Raw genomic sequence first — 25928 nt, 5'->3', positions numbered from 1 at the left:
AAAGATTATCAGTAAAGACGAAGCACTTTACTGATTGACTTGCTCATCTTGGAGGCTTCATGAAGTTATAATATGATTCAGTTTGCAATTTTAATACATTTTTATTTTTATTTCTTTTTGGTGTCAGGTCAAGAAAGATTTGGAAACATGACGAGGGTCTATTACCGAGAAGCTATGGGTGCATTTATTGTCTTCGATGTCACCAGGCCAGCCACATTTGAAGCAGTGGCAAAGTGGAAAAATGATTTGGACTCCAAGTTAAGTCTCCCTAATGGCAAACCGGTTTCAGTGGTTTTGTTGGCCAACAAATGTGACCAGGGGAAGGATGTGCTCATGAACAATGGCCTCAAGATGGACCAGTTCTGCAAGGAGCACGGTTTCGTAGGATGGTTTGAAACATCAGCAAAGGTAATGTGACTTTAAATAATAAGCTTAATATAAGCAAGGTTCACAAAGAAAATGGCACATAATCATCACCATCATCATAATGATAATAATATGTTTGTTTAGTGATGTATGGTTTTCACATTGCTCTAAGCTCTTTCTCATCTCAGTGCAATGAGTAGGTAAGGCAGGAATTATTATCTACAATTTAAGATCATTGTGGCAAGAGGAGGAAAGCAACTTGTACAAGGTTTCAATAGTAATAGTTGATAACTATGTTTGCCTTTTGAGGTCTTACTATGAGCCAGGCATATTTTGCATGCATTTTCCTATTTAGTCCTCACCACAACTTTATTAGGTGAGTATGGTTTTATAGTAAAGGCCTTATTCATGTGTTAGTTAATTTACACAATCAATATTTAATATGTTCACCTGTACATCAGGAATTGTGCTTCCTCCTAGGAAAGAAAAGATGGCAAACACTACATTGGGCATACCGGAATAGTGGGGTAACAGAGAATAGACAGCAAGCACAAATGTGAAGAACACAGCATAGCTTGGCCATGCTGTTTCCCCTGGATGGCAGAAAAGTGGCAGGAGGTGGAGCTGAGGCAGGGCTGGAAGATGAAGGATCCTGTATGGTGTGATGAGGATAATATACTTCTCATTGTTCCCTCATGTTGCCATCTGATATGTCAGGTTCCTGGCTTTTGTTCTACTCTCTTTTTGTTTTTGCCTGTATTTAAAAAATCTCAGTATCACAGGAGAAAAAAAAAATACTTTCATGGCAAAATTTGAAAATCCATAAAAAACCATAACTAAAATTTTAAAAGAATAACCATTTTTGCTTTTGATTTTTGTGTGTGTGCATATAATTACACTGTTAGGATTGCATTTCACATGGTTTTATATCATGATTTTTCCACTTTTATTCAAATATTAGATGTTTGTAGAGCACAGGTACTACGCTAGTTTTTGGGATTCAGCTGTGAATAAGATAGCCATGGGCTCCGTACTTATGGAGTTCACACTTTGGCCTTATAGTGAGCATTTGTGCACCTCATTAGCAAATGGTTTGAAAATATTGCTGGAATGGTCATCATTCTAATAGGCTGAGGAGGAACCTCTAATGGGTTTTCTGCTGGAAAGAGAATGGTCCAGTTTGCCTTGGAGAAACTATAGAAGACGGATTGGAGGGCAGTGAACCAGGAGACACAGTGGCATGGTAGTTACCATGCTCTGTGGGAACATAATGAGACCTTAAACTGGAGTAGTGGCTATAGATAGGAAAGAAAACCTGGATTTGAGAATACCACCAAATTACAAAGACCAGCACAATTAAGCAAGCACTTGGATTGGAGTTGATGGAGAGGAAGAAAAGGGCAGTGGTGCCACTTTTTCTGTCACAGTGGGATGTTCTTTTGTTTGAACCATTCCTGGAGAGCCTTGATGCCTGTCTCCTTGCTCTTCTGTCACTAGCTTTTATGTTTGGAAAGTTGTTATTGCTCAGTTGCGAGAGTTCTTGTCTTCCTTTTGAGACCCCAGTATGCCAGTGTGCTTTTCCCTTTCATTCTATTTAAAATTTTGATTTCCCCTGTTTCTTGGGATTCTTCCTTTGGTTCAGGATACATTTCCCATCATTTTATATTTCTTGACTCTCTTTGAACGTTTTTAGTTTATGTGGTTGAAGGATTTCTTGCTGTAAGGGGAGACAGCACAACTGAAAGGTATGATTAAGTTACAGAAATTTAACAAGCATGGTATCTTTTTGTAGTCTATTTTCTTTTTTTGTTTGTTTGTTTTTTTGAGACAGAGTCTCGCTCTGTCACCCAGGCTGGAGTGCAATGGCATGGTCTCGGCTCACTGCAAGCTCCACCCCCCGGATTCAAGTGATTCTCCTGCCTCAGCCTCCTGAGTAGCTGGGACTACAGGCGCCCGCCACCACACCCAGCTAATTTTTTTGTATTTTTAGTAGAGATGTGGTTTCACTATGTTAGCCAGGATGGTCTCAATCTCCTGACCTCGTGATCCGCCTTCCTCAGCCTCCCAAAGTGCTGGGATTACAGGCGTGAGCCACCGCACCCGGCTGTTTTCTTTTTTGAATGTTAGCTGTTTTTTTTTTTTTTTTAATTCCAAAATGTGGGTAAATTCACTTATTTTCATTTCCTTTTAGCGCCACACTCAATTTCACTCCAAAGTTGCTGCGTGTTCCTTCAAATTGCTTTCTTTCAAAAAATGTCACTCTCAGCTCAGAAGCCTCCAGGCACAAGGGAGACAGAGTAGGACTTTGAGAACTCCTTTTCTCTGTTGATTACATTACATTGTAAGTGCAAACTAGGCTGAATGACCTGTATTTACATGGGGAGAGGAGTCTTCTGTTATTCATTCATTCATTCATTCAGTCAATAAATATTATCAAATACCTGTTACATGCCAGACAAATGTTCTGGGCACTGAGAATGTAGAAACTTATGAAACAGATAAAACCTTGCCTTCATGGATAAAAACAACAACAAAACATAAATATATGATGTGTGATACTTATTAAGTGCTAATAAGAAGAAAGGGAAAAAAGAAAGGAAGAGGCCTATGAATCTGTGGGGAAGCTTGAAATTACCCGTGGGTCAAAAGACCTTCTGAAGACATTTTTCACCTCACTCTGACGTTCCTTGCTCAACCACTATAGTGTTAAACTGCCTGATTAAGGACACAATGTTTAGTACCTTTAGGACTGGCTGACCCACCTTACTTAGGTACTGGATTTCTAATCCTCCAAATCCCTCTAAGTGTGAACTTTGAAGAGAAGCTTTGTACGGTGTTGGGGAAGGGGGACATGAGATTTCACAAGCTAATATAATCAAGAGAGTACAAGGCCTTATTGTAAAATACAGAAGGCACGTTCAACATCTCTTTTCCATACCTAATGCTATTGAGGTTGTCCTTCTGAATGTCTTAACGAAAACGGCTTGCCTGTGCCAGGTTAGTATTCAAAGTCAACACTGAGAAGCTCAGAAACAATCCTGCAGCACTGACAAACTGGAGTGTCAAACTTCTTTAAAATTCTTTTTAAAGATCTCTGATAAAGCTCTGCTAACTTTCTGACTATAGTATTACAACATTTACAAAACTGAGGCCTAGATTAAACTGTCTGCCTGAAGCAGAGATGGTAGATTTTGGGGATAGCTATGAATTCCTTCCTTCATTTTGAGATCAGAGAACATTTCCCATAGGTATCCTTCTTTTAGACAGTCAATCTTCTAAAAATTAGAGTCCTTTTGAGTGACGACATAATGTCTGGTGATAAATACCTGATTTCCTTTCTTCACATTGCTGAAACTTCTGAGTCAAACTTCTGGCTTTGTCCCCATGGGCACATCCAGCAGAAATCCTTCAGGTATCATCATCAGCTTTGACATCTCTGCAGTTGAAACTTGCAGGATTTTAGATGAGTTAGTCATTGAAACCAGCCTCCATCTTACCACTGACCCCACTGCTGAGGGAAATTTACCCTCTTGCTCTTCAATCCTATGGAGTAACTTTCCATGAGAGTTTTCATGACTACTGCTGTTGCTGGAGCAATCATGGTAGCCCCTGGCTGGCAAGTGAATTAAGAGAGAAAAAATAAAAATTAAATACATGTTGGTGTCTCTGGTTTTTCACATTATCTCTTCCAATATTAAAACCAAAGGAAAGAAAATAGTCTTTTCTGCGTCATATTCTTTGGTTTTTAACCTTTGCATTCTTTTGCTTTCTTGGCTGTATTTCCTTGAATTCTGTCTGTGGATTCTCTAGGTGATGTATAATTGGGGTAATCATGTGTCCCATTTTGCCCCCCAAATTCCTGGTTTATACCTGCTGTTCCAGCATAATTATTAATAATACCTTCATTTTTAATTTGTAATTTAAATTTACATGGTCACCCTGTAGATCATGAGCTCAACTTATTTTACTCTCTACATCATACCTTAGCTCTAATAATGGATATTTTAGTATTCCTGTGCCCATATCCCATTTTTATAATCTGCTTTGGCAGATCTGTTTCTTTAGGATAAAGACCCTGCCCTTCTCTTGTTAGTATATCTTCAGGGCCCATTTGAGAGGCTGACTGGGTTCTGCTACCTGCTGAACAAATTACCTGGTACATTCTTGGTGCCCATTGCCTGAATCTCCATCAGTTGCTGTTTTTGAATTCACTCTGTAAAATCACACCCACTCACCTTCTAGAGCTACTGTGAACATTAAGAGATAATGTGGCTGGGCGCGGTGGCTCACGGCTGTAATCTCAGCACTTTGGGAGGCCGAGGCAAGTGGATCACGAAGTCAGGAGTTCGAGACCAGCCTGGCCAACATGGTGAAACCCCGTCTCTACTAAAAATACAAACATTAGCAGGCTGGCAGCAGGCACCTGTTAATCCCAGCTACTTGGGAGGCTGAGGTAGGAGAATCGCTTGAACCTGGGAGGCGGAGGTTGCAGTGACCTGAGATCGCGCCATTGCTCACCAGCCTGGGCGACTTGAGCAAAACTCCATCCCTACCCACAAAAAAAAAAAGAGAGATAAATAATGTATGTGGGGCCAGATGCATAATATCTGATCCCACCACATGTAGACACACACTTTGCACACTCTACACCATTCCTACTGTCTCTACCCACAGCCCATACGCCGATCTAGCCGTGATGCACACAACAGCCATACTCTGGTGAAAAGGTCTGTTTCTGTACCTTAGCTCTTTCCAGCCTGCTCCATTCTGCTCACATAATGGAGTGGATCAGGTGTGGCTATGCTCAGAAATACACCACCACAAACACTAGTGTAGGTGGGAAAGAATGGAGCAAGTTGTACCTATGCAATAGTGGGGACAAAAGTCAAACTCACAGAAAGAACCTCCAGTGCTTCCAGCTCTTGCTCCCCTATCCCAGTCCTACTCCTGACAGATACCCTTGGTTCTTTCTATGCTATTTATAGTGACTTTTTGGACCCACCCTCTCTCCCAGAATGTTCTAAGAGCAACAGGTGCCCTGGGAAGAAGCTTTCTTACGTTAAATTATACTCAATTTTTGCCTCTTCTTTGAAGCTAAAAATAAAAATGTTAATGTGTATCCTTCTGCTGAGAAAAGGAATATATCTAATACTGTTCTCTATAAGATGGTATTAGTTTCTTTTAGGGAGAGGAACGGATGTTTCACAGTGTAGTGGATATTTCTCATGTTGTTTGGCTTTCTAACAACTGTTAAATACATTTGCTATCTTCGGGGAATTTCCAGCCGTAGGAAGCTCACCTCTCCAGGAAGAACTCAGGAAACTTTCTTCTTTTGCTTCCTTTGCAGCTAGGCACAGGCAGATGACCTAGATTCCACCAATTGTAGGTTGTAGGCATCCATCTCCAAATAATTTAGATGAAGTTATAAGATATACCTCCACTGACTTAATTTGTCACAGCACATTTAACCCTGTATTTTTAGCTGATCTGATTTGAGCTCGTTATACTTAGGGACATAAAAGGAGGGGTCTGATTTGAAATCTAAAACCAGAGCAAACTGAGAATCATAATATACAGGAAATGATGGCTGTGTTTAATAGTGATTTCACATAATGTCCACCAGTCTGTAGTACAACTATTTGAATCATCACTTCTGACAGATTATTGATGCCCTACATGAAGAATGAAAATTGTTTTCTGAAGTTGGGAATAGGTGAAGTGTATGAGTCTCAAATTCAAGCTAGTTATCTATTTAAGGATCAATATAAATTAATAACAATATTTTATCTTTAGCTAATCAATTCTCTAGAGGTTCCCTACGTCAATGCTTATAATTTACTAGACAATCTGAGATCCACCCGTGACTAAGATACTGTATAATAGGAGAATAGAAATGAACGATCAGAGGCTATAACCATAGTTCAGTTTGTAGAAGGCAGGGTGTTGCATATGTCATTCTATTCTGCATGGTTCATATTTTCACTACTTAGAGCTCAGATCTTTCCTGTTTCATGTTTGGACAATCATAATAACCTGACTCCAGACTTTGCTCAAAGTCGTGTTTTGCATGCTATTAAAAACTTAACCTGCTCAAAGGATGACTTTGATTTTGCCACTGCCTAGTTCAAGAATCTTCTGTAGGTTCTACTTCTTAATGATTTAAATTTAGACACCTTAGAACATGCATTAGCAAACTATGATCTGTGGGCCAAATATGGCCTGCCCTGTATTGTAAATAAAGTTTTGTTGGAACTCAGCTGTGCTCATTGGTTTACATGTTATCAATGGCTGTTTTTATGTTACAACTACAAAGTTAAACAGTTGTAACAGAGACCTTATAGCCTGCAGAGCTTCAATTATTTACCATCTGACCCTTTATGCTTCAAAGTTTACCACTGATGTCTCAAAATAAGAATAACTTCTCTTTAGCCAACCACTCTGCTAGTGGCTTTACATACATTTTAGCTTATCCTTGAAATAATCTTATACAGTAAGTACTGTTACTTTTTCTGTTCACAGATGAAGCAATTAAAGTTTAAATTAGAGAGTGACTAGCTAAAGATCTCATTGCGGTATGTCAAAGAGTCAGGATTTCAAGCTAGATGTGCTGACAGAACAGCTTAGCCACCCAACCACCACATTGCACTACCGTATAACCTTTTCTAGTCTGACCTTATATAATAAGTATTTATTGAGCAATTGATACATGGTAGACCAGGGACTGGGATAGATAAATGAGTAAAATGTGGTCCTGATCTCTAGGAGTTTAAAGTCTAATGACAGGTATACAGATGTGTAAATACGTCTTCCAAGAAATGTGACAAAATGGAGCAATTCACATGGAATTGTTGGGTGAGTTGGATAAGGGAAAGGCCTTTTCTCACATATACTTTTCGTCTAGCCGTTGTCAGAACTACCTATCTTTTTCTCATCTTTCTGCTTTTGTCCATGTTGGTCACGCTGTATGGGATTATAATGCAATGGACATTCTTTGTCTGTATTTCATTTTGCCCAACAAAGTCCAGCTCTGGATGTGAGAGAAGAAACATAGAAAAATATCCTGGCTTCAGGAGTCTTCAGAACTCAAATTAGAATCCCTGATTCTGATACTCTGCCCCCAACAAATAATTCTTGCTCTGGCTAAGTATTAACCCTTTCTTCAGGAATTGCCTGACTCCAATACATTTTTCTACAGATACCTATGGAAAGGGACTTAAGCAATTCATGACACCATGGGCTGGCTGTAAAAGAGGATCCATGCTTCAGTGCATAGGATGCTCTAAGAATCTCTTGAAATTATGTGTGCAACTTTAATTATTTGTAGAGAGGGCAATCATTTATTGCATACTAAGAACCTTCCAGGCATTTCACAGCTATTATCACTAATTCCTACAATAATGAAGCATTATCCCCGTTTTCCATGTGGAGGAGTTGTGGTATGATTAAGGGACTTGCTCAAAGCCATGCATGCAGCCTTGTGTCATGATTCTGACCCCTAGCTATCTGGTAAAAGCCCACATTTTCCATGATCTGCAAAAGTGTTTCCATGCTTCTCAGCAGTCTTTCTCAGATTCAGAATTCCTTGTGACCCTAGAGCTGAGTCTAGTTGAGGACAGGCCTGTTTTTCTGAGGTCAGAAGGATGCAGTCACTCAGAGAGCTATCTACACCATGGCCTCATCTCTCTAGGCAAGGACCATCCATCAGAAGAGAGGGCTGAACTGTACTATATGAGCTGGCCTGGCATATATCTATCTCCTAGGTAGTACCAGGCATGTTGGTTGGAGAGAGGACAGCTCTTGAGGAAACCTGTAGAGGCCATATGATGTATGAGGGTAGGAAGGTAGGAGGGGAACACAGACTTGTAAAATCTGTAGAATTTCCAAAGGCAGAGATGGAAGGAGAAAGGTATTCTAGGCAGAGGAAACAGCACGTGAAAGGCATGGAGTTGAGAAATAACAGAAAGTGCTGACAATGCTGAGGTTCAATGAGGCTGAAGGATAAGGTGGAGGGGAAACAGAGAGCAAAGCTTTGCGGTATGTCAAACCATGTCCATTAGCATAAACCCTTCCAGCTGAGAATCCTAATGGACTGTAGAAGTCTGAACTCAAAGATTCAACAGTTTCTTAGTAATGTCCAAAAATCAAAGGATGACCATATTTGATTTTTATTAAAAGACAAATGCCAACTAAATAACAACTCTTATGAAATTAGTGCCTTTTCCTTAGAAAATTTGGCAAATCCTAATATAAGGCGTAGGGTTTTTCAACCTCAGCACTATTGCATTTGGGGCCAAATAATTCTTAGCTGGGATTGGGAGGGAAGAGTGTGTGTACTGTGCAAGGCAGGATATTTAGAATCATTCCTTGTTTCTACCCACTTAAGATCAGTAGCACCCAACACCCCAATCAGTTGTGATAATCAAACATATCTCCAGACATTGCCAAATGTCCTCTGGTTGCAGGGGCAAAATCACTCCCCACTGAGACCACAATTAAACAGTGATCAAAAAATATGTCTTGTGCCCAGTTGGTTCTGCTGTTTTCTAGGGGGTGGGGACAGAGTCAGGTCTGCCTTGATTCTATCTGAGAAAAAAGAATACTTGTAGGCCTGTTTCCATGAGTCTGTGGGAGGAAGAAAACATCTAGAAAGTAAGGCATGTTGTCTTTGAGCCTGGATCTTTCCTCCTTGATCTCTATCTCTAGCCATGGACTTGTTTCTAAAACTTCAGACTTCCATATCCTTCTGGATCTCTACTTGGATATCACTCAGAGAACTCCTCAAACCCAACATATCTGAAATGGAATTCATCAGCTTTTCTGGAAATATAATTATCCAATTTGGAGACCCTACATCCATACAGACACTCAAGCTGGACACCATATAACCAGGTCACACATTCTTTAGAAACCCCTCATTCTTGAGCATAGAAGACTCCAATAGTGAGATTTTTTTTCTGCTTCTCCAAGCTTATCTCTACTCCTTCCATTTATTCCATGGTTGTGTTAAACTGCATCAAGTCTCCCATCACACCTTGGTATTTCCCCTGCCTGGAACGTGCCTCCTAGCTTTATGCACCTGTCTCTCACTCTTCCTTCAGGACTTGGCTCTAACATTACCTGTTACAGTCTCTCCTATACCTTACCATGCTATGTTAAGATGATTTCCTTATGGGGCTGGTCCCTGCACTGCATTGTGAATCCTCCTGGTCATTACCCAGCACAATGGCTTGTGTGCAGAGAGTAATCACTTGCTCAGTGTTTATTGGATGGAAAAGAATATTTTGATGCACTGCCTTTTAAGGAATCTTTCAAAAGATTATTTTATTCTATTATTCTTGGCCCTGCCCGTGCGGAGTATTTATGTCCTTAGATAACTGTGTAGAAGCAGAAAAATTAATTTATTGCTGTAGTTCCCAGGAGGACCCCACATTATGTAACTCCTTTCATCCAGAAAGCTCTTTAGAAACTGCACAGGAGGGAGATTGTTGTGCCCTGCAGTGTGGATGGAGAAGTAAAGAAGAAAAATGAAGGTGAGGGAAGCTGCACCCCCTACCTTAATGCCTTGCCTTGGGCCCTCAACTGAGATTTGCAAATTCTTTGCTTGGCAATGCCACATAACATTCCATAAGAATCTGACATTAGCTTGTGCACCGAATTATGCAAGTCATTCCTCCTTCACACTCCAGGACCAGAATATAGCAATTTTCTTCACTGAAATTCTTATAATCCTGTTTTACATGTATCTCTCATTTGAGTTTTAGCTACTGTCATTTGAGCCACCTGCAATGGCTGTCAAATTTGTCTTTTTTACTAAGAAAGAAACAGAATTCTGGGGAGGATTTTCAATTATTTTCATTGGTGAGACCAGGCCTAGACTTCAGATCCAGTCTAGCACTCTATCTATTCCATGACAATGATTCTTGTAAAAGTTGTGCATCAGGGACATGTAAAGAGCTTGGTAAGATTGCAGATGCCTTGGCCCTATTCTCAGAGAAGTCTAGAGGGGCTTAGAATATATGTTTTTGGAAAACACTCCTTTGGTGATTTTTACTTGCACCCTGGTTAAGATGCATTGTGTTGGAATTTGTTAACTCATTTATTCGTTCATTTATTCATTCTCCAAGTATTCTCTGAATACCTACTATATATTCAAGTAGGCACTTTGCTAAGCACTGGGGCACTGATAATAGAGGGCACAGTTTCTTACTAGGTTCAACTCCTGGAAGACACCAAAATAAACAAATATTTACAATATAGTATGAAGTTCCAGATAATTTGATGGCTTTTACAAGAGCAGTGAGAGCAGCTGAAGAAAAAGCTGTTACCCCCACCTGTGAGTGATGCAGCTTCTTTGGTGTTTAATCTGGGTTGCCAAGAATAAGAGAGGCCTCAAAGGAAGACTGAAGGGAAGCACTGAGAACTCCTTTTTAGTGGATATTGTGCAGTGTGGCATTAGGAACCCACTCTTAGGAACTCCTGGGTATTTCATTTTTAGAAAGCAAAAACAAGCTTCTCATCATTTTTCTAAGATATCTAATCAAGAACATGTTGTTACTGCAGAGTTACCTATCATTATCAGTCATCATAAAATTGTCAAAACAAGACCATGCGAATCTTAATATTAAGAATAATAGGCCAGGCATGGTGGCTCACACCTGTTATCCCAGCACTTTGGGAGGCGGAGGCGGGTGGATCATGAGGTCAGGAGATCGAGACCATCCTGGCTAACACAGTGAAACACCGTCGCTACTAAAAATACAAAAAAAATTAGCCAGGCGTGGTGGCGGGCGCCTGTAGTCCCAGCTACTCGGGAGGCTGAGGCAGGAGAATGGCGTTAACCCAGGAGGCGGAGCTTGCAGGGAGCCGAGATCGCGCCATTGCACTCCAGCCTGGGCGACAGAGCAAGACTCCGCCTCAAAAAAAATAATAAAAAAAAAAGAATAATAATAAAAATTGTATGTATAAAATGCATGTTTAACAGGTCTTGTAGTAAGTGCTTTATTTATTTCATTTACTTCTCACAAACCCTTATGAAATAGGTGCTATTACTATGCCCATATTATATATTAAGGAACTGAGACTTAAAGAAGTTAAACAATTTACCCATTATCCTATGGTTAGCAGGTGGCAGAGTCAAAATTAGAACCCAACTCTCTCTATTCAGATCTCTTCTTCCCTATTTTTCTTTTTACTTCTCTGTGTCTAAATGATAGTCTTATATTGCTATTTCTTGATTTATTAGATTTCTACATACTCATTAATAATTTGCTTTTCTAGATGAGAATTTAATTTTCTTACCTACTTACCCCACTTCCCCATCTTTTCAGTAAAATTCTATCACTGCTTTTGGTTGAATCATGACAAAAATCGTGGTTTATATCATTAGGTATGAAAATATTAGTCACTCACATAATTTGCTGTCTGTGCTTATTTTCAATGAATATTCCTTAATGTTTTAAAAAATTTCCATTATAGTGTTTATTCTGTTGAGACTAGTTTTGTCTTGGAGATCTCCATCCCAGAATCCTCTCCTTTCCTTATGCAATTTTTTTTTGAATGCCCTGTAGAGCCAGCACACGGCTGTAATCCTGGGACTGTGCTTTGACATTCTTGTGTGTGGGATTGCCTGCTTCCTGGATTCCATTTATTTGTCCTGTTTTGCTGGAACATAGCCTCCTGCTGCTGCTTAGGAAAAGATGCATGACATTTCTGGGTACTTGATATCTTCAAATACATATTTTCTAACCCTCACACAATTTTAACTCTCTAGATGGGTATAGATTCCTCGGTTTAAAATAATTTCCCCTTTTAACTTTAAGGCATTGCTTCATTGTAATACAGCATTTAGCATTACTCTTCAGAAGTCTCATACCATTCTCATTCTTAAAGCTTTGTGCATAAGCTGTTTTCTTTTGTCTGGTAGTTTTTAGAATCATCTCTTTACCCCTGGTAATCTGAAAGTCCACAATCCTGTGCTTTATATAAACCTTTGTTCATTTATTGTTCTGGGCCCTTTGTAAGCTCTTTCAACTTACAAACTCATGTTCTGAAAAATGTTATTTCTTTGATAATTTTCTTCCTATTGTTTTCTGTGTTCTTTCTTTATGAAACTCCTAGTTTGGTGTAACCTGAACTAAGTCTATGAGCTTATGATTTTTTCACATATTTTCAGCACTTTAGCAATTTTTGTTTTATTCTGTTTATTAGTTTGCTGCAATTTTCCAGTCTTTTATTATAATTTTTAATTTCAGCAATCATAGTTTTAATTTTGAATAACTCAATTTTATCCTGATTATTCTTTTTCAAAAATCCTAAGAATGTGATAGTTGATTATATTTGTGAAGATGCTGAATTATTTTTCTGAAGTTTTTTCTGATTTTTGCATTATCTATTTCATTAGAATTATTTTTTCAGTCTACTTTTGTTCTTCTATTTTATGTTGATGGTCCCTTTAAAAATTTTGAGAGCAAGATAATCAAAAGCAGATACTGAGCTCTGTGTGTCTAGAAAGGCTTGTTGAATAGTGGCTATGGTGATTGTTGATTTGTGGGTTTTGCTTTAGGTTGGTTTTCACTGGGGACTACATGTCAGTTGTTGAAGGTCTTTTCTCTATAGAAAAACTCTTCTTTCCCACTAAGGGTGAAGATGTCAGAGTTCTTAGTAGAGGGAAGGAGTAGCCCAGCTGCCATATTTGCAGACTTTAGTTGATTATTTTTTCCATCTCCATATCACCTACAGGGGTATGCTAGTTGGTGTCTCTTGAGTCTCAAGTCTCCTTTCTTTAGTTTATTCAGAAGATAAACCAGAATTTGACTTGGGGTGTAAATGTCTGACTGCTGGTATCCTAAGAATGGAGAAGGGACAGGGTTGATGTCCCCATTTGGACTTTCAACCAGTCTCCCTGATTTCAACTACAATTACTGTGTAAGTGTTGAGCTTCTTGGATTTTGAGGGAATTAATTAGCCCTACTATTTTCCATATCTCCCTCTATACACTCTTTAGACCATACTATCTATACTCTGCTAAACCTATTACTACTTCTCTATTACTTTTAGATTTCTAAAAATGTGTGCAAATCTTTTGAATGCTGTTGCACATGTTCTCATTCTTTCCAGCTTTCTACTTTTAAAAAAGCCAGTAGACAAAGGCCCTGTCTCTTCTGTCAGAACCAATGTTAACTTTCTTGATCTTCAACCCTGGGCAGAGTGGCTTCCTTGTTTTCGAAAGGGTTATGTTACTAAGACACGTTTGCCCTCTCCTTCTCTGTTACTTTACTTTTTTAGTATTGATTTTGTCTGACCTCTGTTTTGTGGTCCTTTGCCTTCTCTGATGTGTCTTGTTGGCCACATTTGAAGCGCCCTTAGATTTGTGGATGACAGTCCTACCCTCCCAAGGCCTTCTGTTTCATCTCCATCTACTTCACTGCTACCGAGGTATTGATTTCTTGAGAAAGCCTGCTGAGACTGGGGGGAAAATCAATATCCCATTAGGCAAAAGTGAGGAGCAGCAGCAGCTCCTCTGTAGCCTGTCTGTGGACCTAACATGCTACGGGAGTGCTCAAAGGCTGGGTTAGCCTGTGGTGTCCAGAGATATCCTAAAGTGATGGAATAGCCCTAGGGATAATGTAGAAAAGCCAATGACAGAATGCTCAAGATTTGTAAATCCATTTCCTTGAACTAAATGAAGTGGAGTCACTTTTTGAGAATAATTTTACTTGTCAAAGCTTGCTCCGGAGGAAAGAAGTTCTCTCTTGAGAACTTTCATAATTCCCAGTCACTTTGAATTTTCTAGTGTAAGTAAAATTGTTGGTTAGCTGTAAGACAAATTATTTAGCTTTCATTTCCCCTGGGGTTCTCAAAATGAAAGAGGAATGACAGCATTGAGATGCCAGGATACTATATGTTTCTGAAACATTATGTTGTAAATCCCATTTTTAAATACCATCGCAAAAGGCTCGTTATGGTAGCTCTTCCTGGATGAGTCTCTTTAAAAAGGAAGAGTTTCTTTGGAAGACTATTGTCACATTCTATTTCATCTGGTAATAAGTTTAGATTTTGTGTTTCAGATTTTTGTAAAGAAGGACAGTCACAAGCAGTAAATGCAAACTATCAGAGTTGAAAGAGATCTAGCATTACCACAGTAGTTGAAACCCATATTTAACCCCCAAAGTGGCATGCCATTATATATCTTCTCTACCATTTGCATGGAAACACAAGAATATTAGATGTGGCGAGCAGTTTAACTTAACCTGTGGTCTAAGTACTTTATTTTACGGTTTTATCTATTCATTTATTCTTCAAATAATCATTGAGAACCTCTATGTTACAGGTACTATTTTAGGCATTAGGGCTATACCAGTGGACAAAATAGATAAAATCCCTCTCACCTTGGAACTTGCATTAAAGTGAGTAAAGACAGGTTATAAAATGGTAAATAAACGTAATATATAGTTTGTCAGGTGGAGATAAGTGCTAAGCAGAACATGAAAGCAGGGGAGCTTGCGTGGCATATGTAACATGTGGGATATAGGGAGGAGTAAAAAGAGAAGTAAGCAGTTTTAGACAGGGTGACCGGGGAAGGTTTCATCAAGAGGGTGTTTTTGTTGTTGTTGTTGTTTTTAAGGTAAATATTTGAAAGATGAGCACTATTGAGCCATATAAAATCACGGAAAGAAAATGGTCGAGGAAGTGGGTATAGCATGAGCAGAGGCACTCTGGCAGGAATTGACAGCTGTATTTTTGGAACAGCAAGGCAGCCAGTGAAGATGGAGCAGAGTGAGCAATAGCAGAGTGATAGAGGTGAGGTCAGAGAGGTGATGTCCTGTTGAGTTTTTAGATAATTGTAAGAATTTTGGATTTTTGTGAGACAGAATTTTCTGTTCAAGAAGCCATTGGGTTTGATCAGAGATGTGATATAATTTGATCTAAAGGATCGTTGCAGTGGTTTTGTTGAACCTGAATTATAGTGAGAAAGGTTGGAAGCAGATCAGCTGGGATGCTATTGCAATATTTAAGAATGAGATTGTGAGAAGTACTCAAATTCTACCTTGTATTTATGAATGTTCTTCAGACACAGGATTTCCTAGCAATTTAAGTAAAGGTAATGACAGAAAGTGAGGATTTAAGGATGTCTCAACAGTTTTTGGCCTAAGCAACTGTAAGAATAGAATTGGCGGCCAGGTGATGTGGCTCACGCCTGTAATCCCAGCACTTTGGGAGGCCGAGGTGAGGGGAATCACTTAAGGTCAAGAGTTTGCGACCAGCCTGGCCAACATGGAGAAACCCCATTTCTACTAAAAACACAAAAAATTAACCAGGCATGGTGGCAGACACCGGTAGTCCCCGCTACTCAGGAGGCTGAGTCAGGAGAATCGCTTGAACCCAGGAGGTGGAGGTTGCAGTGAGCCTAGATTGCGCCACTGTACTTCAGCCTAGGTGACAGAGCAAGACTCCATCTCAAAAAAATAAAATAAAATAAATAGAGTTGGCAGTTTTTGAATGGGGTCCTGAGATACAGAGGGATCAATGGGTAAGAGATACAAGATTCTTTTTTTTGTATGTTAAAGTCTAAAAGGTTACTATACATCTAAGAGCAGATGTAAAGTAAGTAGTTATGTATGATTCTGCAGTTCAGGAGAAAAGTCCAGGCTGCAGATATGTTTGGTTGTTATGTATGTATAGGTAATATTTAAAGATCCCTTTGGAATGAGATTACCTTGGGAATGAGTATAGATAGAAAAGAGAAAAGGACTCAGGACTAATCTCTTGGCATTCCCACATTTAGATGAAAAAATGAGGCCCCAGAGAGGGGAAGTAGTAGAGGTAGCATAGGTGTATTTCAAAATAGCTAAGACTAGAACTCAGTGGACTCTCCTCAGTAGACAGCCCTAATAAGATTACTTTTGAGTAGCCTGACTTTTCACTCTTTTTTTTCTATGCTATTCTTCTGAGTAGTAAACTGGGAAGATTTTGGACAAGAAAAAAAGTCAGATTATACATCATTGGTTCTCTCTTTAAATAATCAAAACTTGCATTCACTTACTGTGTTTCTGCTAGTTGGTGGGTCTAAAAATTAAAGTAGGAAAATAAGGTTATTAAATAATTATCCCCCTCTATTCTGTCAACAGTGTATTTTCTTTTAAGTCACTGGGAGGTCTAGCATGGGTCAGAGGTGTCTAGGGTGTAACAGGAGTAAGCTTTGACCAGACTTTATAGTAGTTAGAGATTTTTAAATCTAACTTAAAGAGCATAGTAGCAAGCCTAAATTTCAGGTCTACAAAAGGGCCAAAATATTCAGAAACTTTGTAAATGAGTTCATCATCTAGATTGAAAGTCAGCTTTTGTTATTTGCCATGAATGTTCAAAATGTTAATATATAACATTTGTTTAAAACTTTCAAATTTTGGAAGTTTCCAACATTTATTTTCTTATTTGGCTTTCACAAATTCCCAGCACAGAATGACTTTTCACTCTTTGTAAGACTTGTTTATTAAGAACTCCTGCTGTTGTTCAAGTGAATTGGCTTTGGGAACCCTTACCATTCTGGTTGTCTTACCTGGACACTGTAATCTGTCCGTATGCCAGTTTAAATGGAGTGGCCAGATCTGTTTACAATATACTAGATGTAGACTGAACAGAGCATGGGATAATGGGACTCTAACCTATCTTTCCTAGACCACAATATTTCTATTGTATGCAGTAGTTCACTACATTAATTTATTTTCAACAGCTGTATCAAACTGTTAGAGACATGTTGTACTTACGGTCAACTAAAAATCCCTTATTTTTCTAAATAATATGCTATCAAATGAAATCTTGTGCATTTAAACTATTGATAACTTGAACTCACATGTATAATTTTATTATTAATATCTATTAAATATTATTCTGTGGTTTCAAGCTATAATTCCAATTTCATTTTTAATCTATTATTTTTACCCTTAAAAGTAAAACATCTAGGCTGGGCATGGTGGTGCATGCCTGTAATCCCAGCACTTTGGGAGGCCAAGGCAGGTGGATCACCTGAGGTCAGGAGTTGAAGACCAGTCTGACCAATATGGAGAAACCCCATCTCTACTAAAAATACAAAAAATTAGCTGGGCATGGTGGCGCATGCTTGTAATCCCAGCTACTCGTGAGGCTGAGGCAGGAGAATCACTTGAACCTGGGATGCAGAGATTGTAGTGAGCCAAGATCGTGCCATTGTACTCCAGCCTGGCCAACAAGAGTGAAACACTGTCTCAAGAAAAAAGAAAAGTAAAACATCTATTTCAGTTAGAATTGTGTTCGTCTATATTTGAAAGAGACCCTAAAAATAGTGACTTAACCAAAGAAGAGCTCATTTATAGCATGAAACAAGTCTTGAGGTATGTACCCAGGGCTGGAACTGCAGTTCAAGGACGTCATAAATGGCTCAACTTCCTGGATCACCAGCCTCAGCACGTGACTTTCTCCCTTATGGTTATAAGATGAGGGCATTAGTTTCTGTTTTCTTTTCCTGTGTAATGCATTGCCATAAACTTGACAGCTTAGAATAACACACATTTATGATTTCACAGTTTCCATGGGTCAGTAGTCCTAGCACAGGTTGGTTGGGTCCTTTACTCAGATTCTTATCATGCTAAAACCAAGATGCTGGTCATAGCTGTGTTCTCATCTAAACCTTGGGATCCTCTTCTATGCTCATTCAGGTTGTTGGCAGAACTCAGTTCCTTGTGGTTGTAGGACTGAGGTTTCTGTTTTCTTGCTGGCTGTTGCCTGGGGGTTGCTGTCAGCTCCTAGAGGCTGATCTGAGTTCTTAACCATGTGGCCTTTTTACAGCATGGCAGCTTACCTCTTCAAGGTTAGAAAGAGAATTTCTCTCTAGTTTGCTACAGTGAAGTCTTATGAAAGGGAGCCTAATCAAGGGACTGACTATGCTGTCCTATTCATAGGTCCCACCTGCACTCAATGGGCATGACCCTAGGGGGTGGACATCTTGGGAACATTAGAATTAGAATTCTGTCTGTCATATTAGTTTCTGGGCAGGATTAAGTATCCTGGAAAGGTTAAGAGTAAAAGGTGTGTAACAACTAACTCTGCCTGCCCCTCTTTTTAAGTTTAGAAATCAGATGAGATCAAGCACATTCAAAGTGGTATGGCCATAGATTAAAGTTCAGAAATTGATAGTTTTATAGGAAACCCTACTTAGTAGACTTCTGTTTATATTTCATTAGTCATAACTGCAGTTAGCACAAGGAAGCCAGGGAAATAAAGTTTTAGCTACCTATGCAAAAATCAGCATTCTGTTAAAAAGGAAGAGGAGATATTGCATATTGATAGCCAGGGTAAAATTTGAAATGCCAAATTAGAGAAAATAAATCTGTCTTGTTTAGGAAAAATGGAAATTAATAATGGAAAAAAATCACACAGAAATTCCTACACAGGATTAATCACTGCTAACATTGTCATACTTCTTAATTATATCATATTGTGTGCAACTTAAAAAATGTACTATAAGGATTTCTATGGTGAACTATTTGTAAATATAATTTTTAATAACTGAACAATACCATATTATAAGGATGTTCATAATATCCCCTATCATTAACCCTCTTTTTCTTACATTTTTAGTTTTTACTATTTTAAATAATGTAATGATGGGTATTTTTGTACATAAATTATTTTATATGTTTAAGATTATTTTATTAAGGCTTACTCTTAGATTTACTAGATCAAAGGGAATGGACATTTTTATGTTCTTATCACATATTTTCAAAAATGATGAACTAATTTATACTTACCAACAATGAACTGAAGTAGTCATCATTCTGAGAACATTCTAAAATTCTAATTTCATCCCTCATGTCAGTTTCGCTTCTGCCTTTGGGTCTAACAAAAATTTGATAAGTATGCCTTTTATGACTTCATCCAATCTTCTGATAAAAATGAGGCTACTTCTGGACAGGGGTTTGAGTCCTATACTACCACCTGAGAAACTATTCTTATTTAGTGTAATTAAATAATTAATAGTCTTCAGGCACAGTTTGAGCCCATACAAATCTAGCCATTTTACTTTGGAACCAACCCATAGTCACCTTGTCAGCAGGGACATTAAGAGGGGCATTATACTAAAGATCAGATGTTCAAAGCAGTCTCCTGATTGCTCAGTCTGAAATCCTTATTATGGCAGAAAATGAAGTTAGTTTATTGTGTTTATATCTCCATTCTCTGTGTCCACAGTCTGCTAAACTTGTAGTGCTAGTCCGTCTCTTCAGTGATAATACTTTTGCTCTGAATAAATTCCAAAACAGTCTTTTTCTGCCTTTAGTATTTTCTTCAAGTTTGTCCTTAGACTTCATTTTAGCTTCCTGAGCCCATGTGGATGAGTTCAGACACCGCTCGAATCTGTTCTGCGTTCACTTCCCTTCTCCTTCTGTCTTTTGTACATGTTATTTTTAAACTTGATTTTACCTGAGATGTTCCTGTAGTCAAACTAGCTTCTTTTAGATGGGTTTCCTTTTTCTTCTTCCTTGGATTACTCATGATTGTATAGTTAGAATTTCTGTTTCTGAGCTTCCTGTCCTTATTTTTTTTCCACACTCAATTTTATGGACTGTTTCCCATCTGTGAGAATAACTTACACAGTTTTCCATTCATTCTTAGATATTTCTATTTTCCAGTTTGTGGAATACTTCCAAATGTGCTGCTCCCTTCCTATTTTCTGGGCTTCAAAGGCAAATTAAAGATATTAGAACTTCCTACACTATCCTTGGTTCAAAATTTATGGCTGTTTTTTTTTGTTCCACACCTTTGAATATGAATATTAGAATTGCATATGCATTTTATAGAGAACTTAGAAAATGATCACAATTATAAAATATAAGATTAAAATTATTTGTAATCAAACCACTAATTCATTTAACTGTTAACATTTTTGTTCTGTTTCATTCAATAAGAAATATGTGTGTATCTGTATATTAAAAATAACTCCATCTTATTCATTTTAAGCCATATTTGTCCTTAAAATGTCAGTCTATAGAATTGGCTCATTATCAGAACTGAAGTTTGTTTGTTTGTTTGTTTGTTTGTTTTGAGATGGAGTCTCACTTTGTCGCCCAGACTGCAGTTGAGTGGCACGATCTCGGCTCACTGCAACCTCCTCCACCTCCTGGGTTCAAGCAATTCTTGTGCCTCAGCCTCCCGAATAGCTGAGTTTACACGCACATGCCACCATGCCCAGCTAATTTTTGTATTTTTAGTAGAGACAGGGTTTCACCATGTTGGCCAGGCTGATCTTGAATTCCTGACCTCAAGTGATCCGCCCACTTCAGCCTCCCAAAGTGTTGGGATTATAGGTGTGAGCCGCCACGCCCAGCCATTTCTTAAACTGTAAGAAATTTCTTTTATTCCTTTTTATTTTCTCTCAAATTTATTGAGCAACTACTTTATACCTTTCTGGTGAGAGGTGCCTTTCTTCAAGTCATTTATGTTTCAACTCTACTTTCCTTATCTTGCTTTTTTGCATGTCCAGTATTATAGCCTCAGTTTTCTACTTATTCTGTATATGTTAAGGTACTCAGGTGCCACTAGATTTGATCTGTTGGGTAATGTGTAAGTTTACGGAAAAATATTTTCTATTTATTTTTAAAATTATGCATTGCTTATGTCTATCTAAAATGTGAATGCATACATCTACATTGGTATAGATATACAACTGTCCATATAGTGATATAGTAAATACAACTGAGGGTTTCCAGATTCAAAATCATTGAGCCATGCCAGGTTTGAGCTCCTCCTCCCAACCATTCCTCTTCCTCTCCTGCTGCAAGTTGTCCCAGTAGAAGTTGCCACTCCTACATACTGTGTCTCTCAAGTCACTGTAACTGGCCAATAGTGTCCACATGATCCAAGTGAGTCCACTTGTGGTACCACTGTCTCTGGGACTTGGAATTGTTCTAGTCTTGAGTATGAACATGTGCCTGAAACTAAAGTCATCAGAGTCCTTCCTCAAGATTTCTCTAACTGAGGTTGAGGGTAGGAAGCCTTTTCTCTTTAGTGGCAAAACTATGAGCATATGAATCCAGAAGCTCTGAACTTCTTTATTTGCAAAAACCTGAGGGCAGGTAGGAAAAATTAAGGTGATCTGATGGTATTTGAGAGATTAATTTTATTTTCTAAAGTTCCTGGAGTAACCTGAGTCTTTCAGCAATTCTGTTACTCCTGGGAGCTACCCTCCAGATGGCCTAGGTGATTCAATGGGTTTCTGATTTTTGCAACCAGTAACTTACGGCTAATCAAGTTGACAGAGTTCACTTGCTGTAGATGATGATTGCTTAACAAATGCCTTATATTTAAATTCTCAATTTGAGAAATCTTTCCCATTAAGGGAGCATTATTCTCAGCTCTCCCACAAGTTTAACTACATTAGACAAGAGCTTGAGATAGTCTCAGGAGTCACCTTCAATTCTATCTGGAAAAAAGGGAGAGTATAAATTATCTCCCTTCACAGCTGGTGAAACGGATGCCAGAAAGAGGACTTAATCTGCTCATAGTGACCAAGATAGTTTGTAGCAACATCAGGGCTAAGACTCAAGTCTCCTAATTCCCTGTCCTAAGCTGTCCTGAGTATAAAGAGATTCGGTGTAATGGATATCAGCACAGAGAAGTCACAATTTCTTTTGTGCTTTTTAAATTTGAATCAGCTCATTTTTCTTTCCCTTTTACAGAACAGTTCATTCATAAATTACATTGTAAGCACTACATGCCAACAGGCTCTATGATAACTGCTGTCAAGATAGACACTCCAAATGTGTGTCACTTCTGCTCTCAAGAAGTTTGTTATCTAGAGAGAAGGTAAATTTTAAAAAGTAATTGTACATGTGTGTGACCATAGATACTATAGGGAACTGTTAGGAGCCACCTAGGAGGTTGGTTAGCAGCCAACCCTACCTTGCTGGGGTTCTGGATTAGGGAGCATTGGTCTATCAGAGAGGATAATACCTTATCATAACCATTCAGATCTATTGTTTCCAACTTTGCATTATATCATCTACTCTGTTAAAATCATATTTTAGAAAACACATGTATTTCATTTTGGGCTAGTCTCAGGAAAATTAGAGAAAGATAAAAATGGGGGTAGCACTACTTAGGTGAGGGTATAAAAAACACACAGGGTAATATAAAATTGGTTAATGAATGTCTCTTTCCACAAACCCCTCTACTCTTAACCACTCCCACTTATACCACCACTATTTCCAGATCAGTAGTTGTCAAACTGTGTGAAGAGGAACATTAGCTCTCTGAGATACAGCATTAGATAAGAGTTCTGTAGTCAGGTAACTTTATGACCACTGCACAATCATTCCCTTCTTTGAGATGGGAGGGAGAAAGAGAAAGCCTGTTCTCCCATCCCAACTTGAATCTGCCTTATTTCCATTCACACATAATTGATACACATCTTTCCCCTCTGCTCCCAGTTCATTATGGTGCTTTAGTTCCCCTCATGCATTCCAGCCCAGAATGAGAAACTGCTTTTCTGTTTAATGTAAAGAATTTGAACACAAGGCACACTCCACGATCTTCTAAAAGACTCTGAGAAATCCTATGATTAAGAAACACTTTTGTATTATTTTTAATTTAACATCTAAAATCATTTAGCCATAAGATGGCTTTTCTCCCATATCATCCTATGAAACTTCAGAACCCACTTGGAAATATCTTACTCTAATGAAGAAGTTTGTTTGCCCCTCCAGTCTCATATATGACTTAACAATAATAGTTGGGCAGTGTTGTATTGTTTTCCAAGTGCTTTATTTTCAGTGCCTATTGCATGCCAGCACTATTGCTAAGTTCTTTCATATATCTCCTCTCACTTTATACACATCCTCAATAACCTTGTGAAGTTGGCATTATTTTCATCACAGATTATACGTAAAGAAACAGGCTGAGAGAGAGGTTATGGTGACTTCCTGGAGGTTACACGAGTGGCAATACACAGAGCTGGGATACTTCTGAGTCTTTCTTTTTTTTTTTATTATTATACTTTAAGTTTTAGGGTACATGTGCACAATGTGCAGGTTTGTTGCATATGTATACATGTGCCATGTTGGTGTGCTGCACCCATTAACTCATCATTTACATTAGGTATATCTCCTAATGCTATCCCTTCCCCCTCCCTCCACCCCACAGCAAGCCCCAGTGTGTGATGTTCCCCTTCCTGGGTCCAAGTGTTTTCACTGATCAACTCCGACCTATGAGTGAGAACATGCAGTGTTTGGTTTTTTTGTCCTTGTGATAGTTTGCTGAGAAGGATGGTTTCCAGCTTCATCCACGTCCCTACAAAGGACATGAACTCATCATTTTTTATGGCTGCATAGTATTCCATGGTATATATGTGCCACATTTTCTTAATCCAGTCTATCATTGGACATTTGGGTTGGTTCCAAGTCTTTGCTATTGTGAACAATGCTGCAATAAACATACGTGTGCATGTGTCTTAAAAAACCACTTTAAAGTTCATATGGAACCAAAAAAGAGCCCGCATTGCCAAGTCAATCCTAAGCCAAAAGAACAAAGCTGGAGGCATCACGCTACCTGACTTCAAACTATGCTACAAGGCTACAGTAACCAAAACAGCATGGTATGAGTACCAAAACAGAGATATAGACCAATGGAACAGAACAGAGTCCTCAGAAGTAATGCCACATATCTACAACTATCTGGTCTTTGACAAACCTGACAAAAACAAGAAATGGGGAAAGGATTCCCTGTTTAATAAATGGTGCTGGGAAAACTGGCTAGCCATATGTAGAAAGATGAAACTGGATCCCTTCCTTACACCTTATACAAAAATTAATTCAAGATGGATTAAAGACTTAAATGTTAGATCTAAAGCCATAAAAACCCTAGAAGAAAACCTAGGCAATACCATTCAGGACATAGGCATGGGCAAGGACTTCATGTCTAAAACACCAAAGGCAATGGCAACAAAAGCCAAAATTGACAAATAGGATCTAATTAAACTAAAGAGCTTCTGCACAGCAAAAGAAACTACCATCAGAGTGAACAGGCAACGTACAGAATGGGAGACAATTTTTGCAATCTACTTATCTGACAAAGGGCTAATATCCAGAATCTACACAGAACTCAAACAAATTCACAAGTTCTGAGTCTTTCTATGGCACCTTTTCCCTTCACATTAAATAAATAGAGACAAATAATAAAAATTCAAGATACCAGACAATTCTGAAGCTAGAGGATATACTGAACTTCATCCAAAAATTCAAAGGAGAATGTCAATCAGTTAGATGTTAGCAGCTAAATACTTCCAAAAAAGTTATGTTTGTTCTGGAGGGGCAGGGGATCTACAGATAGAGATGGGAATAAGACTAACTCAAGCAAAGAACACATTGAGGGAAGGGTTTATGGTCTAGTTCGGTTGGAATCTAGTACAGATGAAACAGGAGAGTTCAGTTGTAGCCATATTGGTTGGGCACCAGTTTTGTGGTCTGAACTTATTCTGAGTACGCAATGTGAGCCCACAAGATATTTTTTCGATGAAGTATGAATGTAGTTACATCTTAATTGGAGTAGTTAAGAGACAGTCTGGAAGGAATATAGAGGATGATTGCAGTGAGACAGAAGAAACTAGAGGCATGTGATCAGAGAGAAGACTACACAGGACATGAACTGGGGTAAAATGTTACAGTCACTATGAGAAGAGAGCACGTCATGTCCATCATCATCTCTAAGCATAAGTTGAAGAGCCCTGGACTAACAAGACAGTCACATAACTTATTGCGTAGCAAATTAAAGCATGGATTGTAAAGCCTTTGATGAATAGTGCCTGGTCCATGAAAAGTGCTCAATGATTATTTGCTGAATAATAAATCATTTCATCTAGTTACATGATATTTCAAGTATTATATAAGAACTTCAAATTGATGTATCTCCTCTTTTTAATTTTCAATTACAAGTTTGTGGAATGAAGAAAAATAATGTTTTATTCCATATCTGAAAGTAGAAAATTATATAACATATTCTAAGTGCTGCCTCCGGGAGGTTGCGCAGGCTAAGAATGAGTTGTTATCTGACTGTGGAATTTAGGAGTTAGACGTCAGGAATTTGTGAGGGTTGGGTCGACAGGTTCTATGGTTGAGGCCAGAATTTTGGTAGTTAGCTAGTATCTCTCTGATGTCCAGTGATGATGAGCATTTTTTCATGTGTCTTTTGGCTGCATAAATGTCTTCTTTTGAGAAGTGTCTGTTCATATCCTTCGCCCACTTATTGATGGGGTTGTTTGTTTTTTTCTTGTAAATTTGTTTGAGTTCTTTGTAGATTCTGGATATTAGCCTTTTGTCAGAAGAGTAGATTGCAAAAATTTTCTCCCATTCGTAGGTTGCCTGTTCACTCTGATGGTAGTTTCTTTTGCTGTGCAGAAGCTCTTTAGTTTAACTAGATCCCATTTGTCAATTTTGGCTTTTGTTGCCATTGCTTTTGGTGTTTTGGACATGAAGTCCCTGCCCATGCCTACGTCCTGAATGGTATTGCCTAGTATCATTGACAATCCAAATACAAAAAGT

At 38.5% G+C, this 25928-nt stretch overlaps 1 protein-coding gene across 3 annotated transcripts in view, besides 1 other annotated feature; it reads left to right on the top strand.

The window, feature by feature from the left end:
* The window catches only part of RAB38 (RAB38, member RAS oncogene family), a 371729-nt gene that overhangs the window by 25361 nt on the left and 320440 nt on the right, over positions 1 to 25928 (top strand). For all 3 annotated transcript variants that reach the window (XM_017017456.3, XM_017017455.3, NM_022337.3), the window contains exon 2: positions 128 to 408. In XM_017017456.3, the coding sequence (XP_016872945.1) occupies positions 128 to 408 (281 nt within the window). The remainder of the gene's footprint in view (positions 1 to 127; positions 409 to 25928) is intronic.
* Positions 17752 to 17861: an enhancer, noted in NCBI's record as "active region_5377". NCBI's record gives its function as "activates an Ori minimal core promoter by ATAC-STARR-seq in GM12878 lymphoblastoid cells {active_cell/tissue: GM12878}" and the evidence as "EXISTENCE:reporter gene assay evidence [ECO:0000049][PMID:35858748]".

The sequence above is a fragment of the Homo sapiens genome, chromosome 11 (genome assembly GCF_000001405.40).
Source record: "Homo sapiens chromosome 11, GRCh38.p14 Primary Assembly".
Taxonomy (NCBI): domain Eukaryota; kingdom Metazoa; phylum Chordata; class Mammalia; order Primates; family Hominidae; genus Homo; species Homo sapiens.
Note: the sequence above shows the minus strand (reverse complement) of the source record. Positions and strands in the feature narration are given on the sequence as shown.